General features: G+C 50.8%; 1 protein-coding gene and 1 long non-coding RNA gene across 6 annotated transcripts in view, besides 4 other annotated features; one reads left to right on the plus strand and one right to left on the minus strand.

The window, feature by feature from the left end:
* TECPR1 (tectonin beta-propeller repeat containing 1) overlaps positions 1 to 5,549 on the minus strand; it is a 37,609-nt gene extending 32,060 nt beyond the window's left edge. For 3 of the 5 annotated variants that reach the window (XR_428174.4, XM_017011937.2, NM_015395.3), the window contains exons 1-2: positions 5,443 to 5,549; positions 4,711 to 4,865 (exon numbers count right to left, since the gene is read on the minus strand). The gene's annotated coding sequence lies outside the window, so the exon portion shown is untranslated. The remainder of the gene's footprint in view (positions 1 to 4,710; positions 4,866 to 5,442) is intronic. The other 2 variants (XM_047420119.1, XM_005250253.5) reach the window with 1 other exon arrangement.
* Positions 5,196 to 5,939: an enhancer, noted in NCBI's record as "H3K27ac-H3K4me1 hESC enhancer chr7:97881191-97881934 (GRCh37/hg19 assembly coordinates)". NCBI's record gives its function as "activates a minimal SCP1, AML or CMV promoter by ChIP-STARR-seq in naive H9 embryonic stem cells {active_cell/tissue: H9 hESC(naive)}" and the evidence as "EXISTENCE:reporter gene assay evidence [ECO:0000049][PMID:30033119]".
* Positions 5,256 to 5,645: a silencer, noted in NCBI's record as "silent region_18391". NCBI's record gives its function as "represses an Ori minimal core promoter by ATAC-STARR-seq in GM12878 lymphoblastoid cells {active_cell/tissue: GM12878}" and the evidence as "EXISTENCE:reporter gene assay evidence [ECO:0000049][PMID:35858748]".
* On the plus strand, positions 5,676 to 10,073 carry LOC124901706 (uncharacterized). Its single transcript, XR_007060448.1, has 2 exons — positions 5,676 to 5,845; positions 6,201 to 10,073. It is a non-coding gene; the product is annotated as an uncharacterized LOC124901706 (long non-coding RNA).
* Positions 5,736 to 5,835: a silencer, noted in NCBI's record as "silent region_18392". NCBI's record gives its function as "represses an Ori minimal core promoter by ATAC-STARR-seq in GM12878 lymphoblastoid cells {active_cell/tissue: GM12878}" and the evidence as "EXISTENCE:reporter gene assay evidence [ECO:0000049][PMID:35858748]".
* Positions 8,654 to 8,948: an enhancer, noted in NCBI's record as "tiled region #13100; K562 Activating DNase matched - State 9:DNaseU". NCBI's record gives its function as "activates a minimal TATA promoter and a strong SV40 promoter by Sharpr-MPRA in K562 cells {active_cell/tissue: K562}" and the evidence as "EXISTENCE:reporter gene assay evidence [ECO:0000049][PMID:27701403]".
* Positions 10,074 to 10,470: the final 397 nt, after the last annotated feature.

Raw genomic sequence — 10,470 nt, forward strand, 5'->3', positions numbered from 1 at the left:
GGTTTTCTCCTGCCTCAGCCTCCCCAGTAGTTGGGACTACAGGTGCACGCCACCACGCCTGGCTAATTTTTGTATTTTTAGTAGAGACATGATTTCACCATGTTGGACAGGCTGGTCTCGAACTCCTGACCTCAGGTGATCCACCTGCCTCTGCCTCCCGAAGTGTTGGGATTAGAGGCATGAGCCACCACGCCCGGTCTCTTTTTTGTTTTTGAAAGAATTTAAAAATAGATCACTTGAGGCCAGGAGTTCAAGACCAGCCTGGTCAACATGGTGAAACCTCATCTCTACTAAAAATACAAAAATTAGCCAGGCACAGTAGTGTGTGCCTGTAGTCGCAGCTACTCAGGTGGCTGAGGCAGGATAATGGCTTGAACCCGGGAGATGGAGGTTGCAGTGAGCAGACACAGTGCCACTGCACTGCAGCCTAGGTGACAGAGGGAGACCCTGTCTCAAAAAAAAAGAATTTAAAAAGTAGAGACAGGGTCTTGCTCGGTCACCCAGGCTGGAGTGCAGTGGTTTGATTACAACTCGTTGCGGCCTCGAACTCCTGGGCTCAAGTGATCCTCCTACCTCAGCCTCCTGGGACAACAACAGACATGCACCACCATACCCAGCTAATTAAAAATTTTTTTTTTGTAGAGACAGAGTCTCACTATGTTGCCCAAGCTGGTCTCAAACTCCTAGTCTCAAGCAATCCTCCCATCTCGGCCTCCCAAACTGCTAGGATTACAGCCTTGAGCCACCATGCCTGGCCAGATCTTTGTTTTCAAAAGAATCAATGAAAGCTTACAGGTTTAGTTGAATCTCGAAAGATATAACTACCCCACTACTTCCCCAGGGGTCCTTCCCCAGAGTGGGCAGGTCTCCCCGCCATGTTGGCCTCTATCTGGGCATAATGAGGGCACGTTGAGAGCCAACGTGACCATGTGAATTCAGGGACGTAGGGGTCTTTTCTTCATGCGCCCTCAGTGACTCCTTCCTCCTCTTCCCCCGGCTCTCTTCTTCTGCCATTCTCTACTCCTTTCTTTTTCTTTTCTTTTCTTTTTTATTTTTTAAGAGAGTATCTTGCTCTGTTGTCCAGACTGGAGTACAGTGGTGCAATCATAGCTCACTGCAGCCTTGAACTCCTGAACTCAAGCCATCCTCCTGCCTCAGCCTCCTGAGTGGCTGGGACTACAGGCATGTGCCACCGTACCTGGCTAATTTTTAAAATTTTTTTTGTAGAGATGGGGTCTCGCTATGTTGCCCAGGCTGGTCTTGAACTCCTGGCCTCAAGCGATCCTCCCACCTTGGCCTCCCGAAGCGCTGGGATTATAGACGTGAGCCACTGCACCCAGCCCTTTCTCTCTTCTTTCTCTGTGCTTTGTAGGCATAGCCAAGGCTATTGCTAAGCTCTGCCACTGACCACCCCTGGCCCCACCTCCAGGGCCCATAGTGCTGTTGCACCCAGGGGTGTCCTTCCTGGAGTCCTGGCTCCTGATAGGAACAGTCTTTCCACCGTGGCAGGGCCACATGGCCACACACAAGGCAGCCAAACACAGAGCTACTGGATGAAGCCACCAGGGCCATCACCTGAGAAGCTCTGCCCGACAGGGCGGCTCCTAGATCCAACCCAGGACACTGGCCCGGGGCCTGAAGAGAGGAAAGAGCCTACAGATGAAGACATGGCCAGTCTGACTTAAAAACCGGAGCAAAAGGAGACAGGCAGAGTTTATTTAGGTGCCTGGAGGCTGGGCCCAGTGCTCCCGCAGCATACCAGAGCCATGCGGGTGCTCCAGACGGCCGGGTGACTGTGACGATGGCACGAGATAGAAGCATGTCTGAAAAGAGGAGCAGCTGCCACCGGCAAAAAAAAAAAAAAAAAAAAAAAAAAAGCCAGGTGTGGTGGCTCACACCTGTAAACCCAGCACTTTGGGAGGCCAAGGCGGATGGATCACCTGATGCCAGGAGTTTGAGACCAGCCTGGCCAGCATGGTGAGACTCCATCTTTACTGAAAAAAAAAGGTGAAAATTAGCCAGGCACAGTGGCGCGTGCCTGTAATCTCAGTTACTCAGGAGACTGAGGCAGGAGAATCGCTGGAACCAGGAGGTGGAGGTTGCAGAGAGCCGAGATTGCACCACTGCACTCCAGCCTGGATGACAGAGTGCGACTCCGTCTCAAAAAAAAACAAAACAAAAAACTAGGCTCTTTGGGGACAAGGTGCATCTTTTTTTTTTTTTTTTGACAGAGTCTTCCTCTACTCCCAGGCTGGAGTGCAGTGGCATAATCACAGCTCACTGAAACTTCCACCTTCTGGGTTCAAGTGATTCTCCTGCCTCAGCCTCCCAAGTAGCTGGGATTACAGACCTGCACCACCACATCTGGCCCATTTTTGTATTTTTAGTAGAGATGGGGTTTTGCCACTTTGGCCAGGCTGGTCTCGAACTCCTGGCCTCAGGTGATCCGTCCCAAAGTGCTACGATTACAGGCAGGAGCCCCTGGCCCTGGCTGGGACAAGGTATATCTTACAAACACCAAGAAGACAGATTGCAGGTTGAGAAGGAAGTGAGTGAGAGGGTGAGGAACAGGAAGACAGGAAGCAGAACAAAAGCTCAGCTCTGGGAAACTCCCATAACAGGAAGTGGGGGAAAAGAATAGGAGGGAGACTGCCCAGCAGAATGGAGGAAGCCCGGGGAGTAAGAGCCCCTCCCAGAGCAGCTGACCCCCTCCATCCCAGGACACCAAGGCCCGTCAAACATATGAGAAAATCAGAACACCAGCTTTCTGGAACCATCTGAAACTGAGCTGGGACCCCTGGTGACCCCTTCGTGCCTCACTGATCAGGACTGAGGGTCCCTCTGGCACCTTCACAGTGACTAAGAGAGTCCAGAGCTGCCTGGATCTCAGAATGCTGCATTCTGGGATCCTCACTTTCTTGTACCACCAAAAGCTAACTAACCTCTCTGTGCCTTAATTTCCTAATCTATAAAAGGCAGAATAGGGCTGGGCGTGGTGGCTCATGCCTGTAATCCCAACACTTTGGGAGGCCAAGGCGGGCAGATTGCTTGAGGCCAGGAGTTTGAGACCAGCCTGGCCAACACGGTGAAACCCGTCTCTACTAAAACTACAAAAATTAGCCGGCTTGGGAGGCTGAGGCAGGAGAATCGCTTGAACCTGGTAGGAGGAGATTGTAGTGAGCCAAGATCGTGTCACCACACTCCAGCCTGGCCAACACAGCAAGACTCCATCTCAAAAAAAAAAAAAGAAAAACAAAAAACCAAGTCCCTTTCAGGTCTGAGTCTTCAGCCTCTTCATTTCCATAATAGTCTCTGCACACAGTGGGTGTTGAAACAACATTTAAGGATAATCACCACCACCTACCTCCAACACACTGCCAACTCCCTGATCTAAGACAGAAATACTTCTCCAGGGAAAACAAATGCCACAAATAACTTGAAAAGTAAGGTCATAATTGGTGGACAGATATGTGATAAAGCAAGTAAAGTGTCAATAGTAGAATCTAGTTGGTGGGGATGGGGATGCTGACTGTATAATTCTTTCAACTTGGCTGTATGTGGGAAAATCCTCAATAAAATGCTAGGGGAAGACGAAGGTTTTTTTTTTTAATTGTCACTTTCTATAGTGTTAAATATAAGTTAGCCTTCAAAGATAGCTCAGAGGCCAGGTGCAGTAGCTCATGCCTGTAATCCCAGCCCTTTCCGGGGCTGAGGTGGGAGGATCGCTTGAGCCGAGGAGTTCAAAACCAGCCTAAGCAACACAGGGAGACCCCATCTCTGTAAAAATAAAAAGTTAAAAAAAAAATTAGCCAGGTGTGGTGGCACATGCCTGTGATCCTAGCTACTTGGGAGGCTGAGGCAGGAGGATCACTTGAGCCCAGGAGTTTGAGGCTACAGTGAGCTATGATTGTGCCACTGCACTCCAGCCTGGGCAGCAGAGCGAGACCCTGTCTCAAAAAGGAAAACAAACAACAACAACAACAACAACAAAACAAAGATAGCTCAGAATTCACTGGATAAGCAAGCAGTTTAGCTAGACTCAGTCTGCAGGTTGAGCTCAATGAAAGGAGATTTTGACTTTCCTTCAAATAAATGACTAAGCACTAATTTCCTCATAGACATCATTGAATCTTCTGGGCAGTTAATGGGAGAAGACTCTGCTACAGTGAAAGGGAGGGGTGGGGGGTTGCTGTATTTACAAACTCCCTTCAGAGTAGAGACCCAGGCACCTGTCGTCACTTCCTAGCTACAGTTGACATCCGGTAACCATCCTTGGTCAGCCACACTTTCTTTCTGCCTCTGCCAAGAGGCTCCCCCTAGCTCCTCATGGGCCACTTTCTGGCTGTGAGCTGATCAGGCAACTTACACAGGGTCACTGGGTCAGAGGACTCTTGAAAGGGGGGTTGGAACATGAAGCCCCATGATTCAGGGATCCTGGGACTTGTTTGTTTTGTAGGGTTAGAGGGATGGAGGAAAATCTTCCAAATCAGCAGCCTCGAATTCACCAAGAATTTCTACAAGATGAATTTGAGTTGAACCTTCAGTCTTTCCACGAAGAAGGTCTGCTCGCCACCCTCAAAGCCATCTGCCTTTCTGTCTCAGTTTATTCACAGATCCTTTCAGAGACCAAAAAAAGCACCCAAGAGAGGCGGGGACAGAGATGTGGTAGAGGAAAAGACACAGTACAAAGAACGCTCCGCAAGCACTTACTTCCTCTGAGCCTTAGGAGTCCTACCTAAAAGGTTTCTTGCTTGTTTTTCTATTACACTGTCACTCCCATCCGGTATGCAAACAGTCGGCAATGCCTACTACAGTAGCTCGCTGGCTGCCAGGTGCAGGGGCTGTTCAAAAGCGACATCAGGGTCCTAAAAGGTGGGAAAAAGCAGCAGAACTTGCATGGTAGTTGATTCTTTCCTGAAGAATAGGGTCCGCCCAGCCCCACCGGGCAGGAGGTGTCCTGAGTCAGCCTGGCGTTCAGCCCAGTGCTGTGCACTTGGGTGACAGGTGGGGCCCCTGCACTGCCACCAGTAGCATATGTCGGAGCTCTGGGCCCTGACCATCTGCCAAAGCTAATCTTACGACAAGCAGATTTGCTCCCATCAATACCCAGGGAGAGGGATAGGCAGGCCCCTTGCTGCGTGATTCTCGAAAACAACCAGGATCCCGCGATCCGCTTCTCCTATGGCTCCAGTCCAAAGGCTGGAATGGGGGCGTCACCTGCACCAGGCAACTTCGCTAGCCTGTGGGCGTTCCAGGGCAGGGGACGGGGGCGGCACCTTCCAGGTGTGCAGGCGAGATGACAAGTGCGGTCCCTCCTTCCTCCCTCCCCGCGAGCAAACAGCCTGGGGGTGGTGGGGAAGGCGGCGTGCCCAGCCCTTCATCGCCCCATTCTTTCCCACGGCCCTGGCCGCCGCTGCAGCTGGGGCGCCACTCTGCACTCACCTGGGCCCGCGCCGGGCGGGGCGAAGTCGCGGTGGTAGGTCCTCGGCGTCCGGGAGGAGCGGACCGGCCCTCCCGGGGACCGGGCAAGAGGGTGGGCCGGAAGCGGCATCAGGCCCCGTGCCCATTGGCCAGCCTCGCCAGGACGCTGCGACCTGGGACGTGCGATTGGCTGCGGTGCGCCGCGTCGGTGCTGGCTTCGAGGTCGCGCGCCCGCCCACTTCCGGGGTCGCGCCAGGTCAGGAGTCCAGAGTCGGCTGAAGCGAGTTGCCGCGTTCTCTCTGGCGGCGCGACACCGGCCCGTGGACCGCCCGGCCGCCCTCCAGGACCCGGTCTGCAGGAGCGGAGAGGGCGGTGTGGACACCGCCTGCAGGCGAGGAGAAGGGGTGGCGGAGAGGGTACCTGGGTGCGTGGCTGTGCGGCGTCAGGAGGAGCAGGGTGTGGGCGCCCGGCCTGGGGCGTGGAGAGGACGCAGGGAACAGGTGTCTTCCTGGTATCCATCGAACTGAAACGTAGCCCTTGAGCACACACTACACTTAAAGCTTTACTCTTTCGAGGAGGAGTCCTGGAAGCATATGTGATTTTGTGACTATAGCATGGTGTGGTGTCAGTAACAGGCCCTGGATTGCTCAAACTCTATTGTCAGTGACAAAACCCAGTGTAAGCTGGCCTAATATATTAATAGTAATATGCGAGTCCTCCCGGGGTGGCGGGCACTGACGTAAGTGCTTTACTTGGGTCTTCTCATTTCATCCTCCCAGCAACCCAAAGAGCTGGCGGCGTCATTCCCATTTTACAAATGCGAACACGGGCTCAGAGATGGAGCGACTCACGTTGTAAGCGATGGAACTGGGATTTGAAAACACTGTATCCCGCCTGGCAGAAAACTGGCAAGGTTAGGATGGAGAAAGGAGAAAAAAGAAAGATGTCGGCCAGGTGCGGCGGTTCATACCTGTAATCCCAGCACTTTGGGAGGCCAAGGCGGGCGGATCACTTGAGGTCAGGGGTTTGAGACCAGCCTGGCCAAGATGGTGAAACCCCGTCTCTAGTAAAAATGCAAAATTAGCCAGGGGTGGTGGCGCATGCCTGTAATCTCAGCTACTCGGGAGACTGAGGCAGGAAAATCGCTTGAACTGGGGAGGTGGAGGTTGCAGTGAGCTGAGATCGTGCCACTGTGCCACCGCACTACAGCCTGGGCGACAAGAGCAAAACTCCTTCTCAAAAAAGAAAAAAAAGGGCATCTGATGGAAGGCTAGATACTACCCGACATTGAGCTAAACCAATGTCACCTGGTTGGACCTAGGGACCTATTCCTGCTCCCCCTCTAGTTCTGTCTCATTTCTGGGGTTGCACACAGGCTTTTCCTGGGCCTTCATGTTTGGGGAAGCCCCACACAGGCCAGCTCCAGTGGAAGAAAACGCCCCCAGAAGCCTCTTGTTCACCCCGGATGGCTCTGTGGAGTCCTGTGTCTGACCCTGACTTTAGCTTGGGCCTGAGGGACTGGCATTTGTGGACTTGGTCTGGAGATGTGGGCAGAGCCCCCCTCAAGCATAAGGGCTCAGCCAGGCACAGGGGGTGGCTCCTCAGAGGAAGATCAGGGTGCTATTAGCAGAAGGACGATGAGTGGGCCGGGCGCAGTGGTTCACGCCTGTAATCCCAGCCCTTTGGGAGGCCGAGGCGGGTGGATCATGAGGTCAGGAGATGAGACCATCCTGGCTAACATGGTGAAACACCGTCTCTACTAAAAACACAAAAAATTAGCCGGGCGTGGTGGCGGGCGCCTGTAGTCCCAGCTACTCGGGAGGCTGAGGCAGGATAATGAGGTGAACCCAGGAGGCGGAGCTTGCAGTGAGCTGAGATTGTGCCACTACACTCCAGCCTGGGCAACAGAGCAAAACTCTGTCTCAAAAAAAAAAAAAAAAAAAAAAAAGGAGGATGAGTGGTCGCTAGACTGCTGGAGAAACAGTCTAGAGGTAGGGAGCCCTGGGTTCTGTCCTGCCTGTGACACTCTGTAGCCATTTATCTCCTCTTTAGCTTTAGTTTCCACATTAAAAGAGGCATTGAAAAAAAATGAAAAAGAGGCATTGAATTAGGAGCTTTCTGTGGCCCCTTGCAGTTTTCATGTGTGGTGACAAAGTTCAATATAGTTTTCCTGAATTCAGGGGCTTGGGGACCCATGTCCCCCTATCCCGAGTTCTTTTTTTTTTTTTTTTTTTTTGAGAGGGAGTCTCACTCTGTCACCCAGGCTGCAGTGCAGTGGTGAGATCTCAGCTCACTGCAACCTCCACCTCCCAGGTTCAAGCGATTCTCCTTTCTCAGCCTCCTGAGTAGCTGGGACTACAGGTGTGTGCCACCACGCCAGGCTAATTTTTTTATTTTTAGTAGAGACAGGATCTCACCATGTTGGCCAGGCTGGTCTTGAACTCCTGACCTCAGGTAATCCACCCATCTCAGCCTCCCAAAGTGCTGGGATTATAGGCGTGAGCCAGCATGCCCGGCCAAAAGTTTGCTTTCTTTTGAGTCTGTGATCAGCCTTTCACTGAATACACAATTTACATGTGAGAGTGGGTAGAGGAATAGTCACATATGCCTTACTCACTGTCTGGCTCAGTGAATCTGCATTTTGTATAAACAATAGGACAGAGGAAGAAATCACATATGCATTTGTCTTCAGTGAGCGGAGGGCTGACTTTCTGCATTGTACCTGTGAAGATAAGCTATCAATTTACATTGCCAGGGAAAATTCATCAGAACTGTTTTAGGGCAAAGATCTTGAGGCCCGAAAGGAATTTGCTTGTGGAGAAATTGTGAGGGGGGTATGTAGCTCTTTTGAACTTTCTAGCTATCTTATTGAAGAATAAAACGGGAGGCAGGTTTGTCTGATGCGACCCTCAGCTTGACTTTTCTCTTTGGCGTAGTGATCTTGGGGTCCCGAGATTTATTTTCCTTTCACAGTAGGATACATTGATCAGGTCAGTGCCACAGTACAAGGGTCAGAAGTGTTTGAACCCGAGCGACTCCATCTTGAACAGGGGCTGGGTAAAATGAGGCTGAGAACTGCTGGGCTCCATCCCCAGGAGGTTGGGCATTCTTGGTCACAGGATGAAATAGGAGGTCAGCAGGTTTGGTATCACAAGATACAGGTCACAAAGCCCCTGCTGATAGAAGAGGATGCGGTAAAGAAGCCAGCCAAAACCACGATGGTGATGAAAGTGACTTCTGGTTGTCCTCACCGCTCATTATACTCTAATTATAATACATTAGCATGCTAAAAGACACTCCTACCGGTGCTGTGACAGTTTATAGATGCCATGGCAACGTCAGGAAGTTACCCTATATGGTCTGAAAAGGAGGGGAAACCTTAGTTCCAGGAATTGCCCTCTGCTTTCCTGGAAAACTCATGAATAATCCACCCCTTGTTTACCATAGAACCAAGAAATAACTATAAGTATACTCAGTCCAGCAGCTCATGCTGCTGCTCTGGCTGTGGAGTAGTCATTCTTTTATTCCTTTACTTTCTTTTATTTTTTATTTATTATTATTATTATTATCTTATTTGAGATGGAGTCTCTGTCGCCCAGGCTGGAGTGCAGTGGCGCGGTCTTGGCTCACTGCAACCTCCGCCTCCTGGGTTCAAGTGATTCTCCTGCCTCAGCCTCCTGAGTAGCTGGGATTACAGGCGCATGCCAGCATGCCCGGCTGATTTTTATATTTTTAATAGAGATGGGGTTTCACCATGTTGGCCAGGCTGGCCTCGAACTCCTGACCTCAGGTGATCCGCTCACCTCGGCCTCCCAAAGTGCTGGGATTACAGGCGTGAGCCACCACGCCTGGCCTGGAGTAGTCTTTTATTCCTTTACTTTATTATCATTATTATTTTTGAGATAGAATCTTGCTCTGTTGCCCAGACTGGAGTGCAGTGGCACTATCTCAGCTCACTGCAACCTCTACCTCCCGGATTCAAGCAATTCTCCTGCCTCAACCTCCTGAGTAGCTGGGATTACAGGTGCACGCCACCACACCCAGCTAATTTTTGTATTTTTAGTAGAGACGTGGTTTCACCATGTTGGCCAGGATGTTCTTGAACTCTTGACCTCAAGTGATCCGCCCACCTTGGCTTCCCAAAGTGCTGGGATTACAGGTGTAAACCACTGCACCCAGCCTGTTCATTTACTTTCTTAATAAGCTTGCTTTCACTTTATGGACTTGCCCCAAACTCTTTATTATGTGAGGTCCAAGAACCCTCTCTTGGGGTCTGGATCGAGGCCCCTTTGCAGTATAACAAGGATCAGGAGTAGACAAAGAAAAGTCCAGGTCCCTGGCTCAACAGAATCTACTCTCCAGCAAACAAGATAAAACTTGCTATCTCCCTTTAATTGAAGTCCCTAATGTTTAATGGAAGTCCCAGTAGGCATCCATATGGTCTCTGTATTTACCAGCGGCTGGAAGCTCGCTTTGTACGTTACTCTGCACAACACCACATGACTGCTCCTGACAGTAATTTGAGGAGCTTCTGGTGATGGTAAACTTGCACAGTATGTTCAAAACCAACCTACAATCTGTGTTACGCCTGTATGTTTCACAAGGAACATGTCTGTATATTTCGACTCCAGAAATATAATTTGTCAAACCAATTATCGTACCTAAAATGTCTTGTGCTGTGTTTTATAATAATTTACGCAAATGAGTTTCATTTCATGTAATTAACCTATTCCAGTGTGATGTTTCTCACCCCAACTTTGCCAGCTCTCTTTCCAGCACAGAAACAGATTCCGCTAACCATCGCCAAAGGCAGGACCTGTGAACAGCTGAAGCATCTCCTGGTCTCTGCTCTGCTGAGCCTTCCATAGCAAATCCCAGGCAGACAGGGTCCTGAGGATTGATGGCACCTGAGCAGCAGTTGTGACCTTCCGCAACATTCTCTTATGCCTCTATAAAAGCCAGTAATCTCCCGGCATGATGGCTCATGCCTATAACGTCAGAGTTTTGGAAAGCGGAGGTGGGAGGATCACTTCAGGTCAGGAGTTTGAG

This window comes from Homo sapiens, chromosome 7 (genome assembly GCF_000001405.40).
Source record: "Homo sapiens chromosome 7, GRCh38.p14 Primary Assembly".
In the NCBI taxonomy this organism is placed as follows: Eukaryota; Metazoa; Chordata; class Mammalia; order Primates; family Hominidae; genus Homo; species Homo sapiens.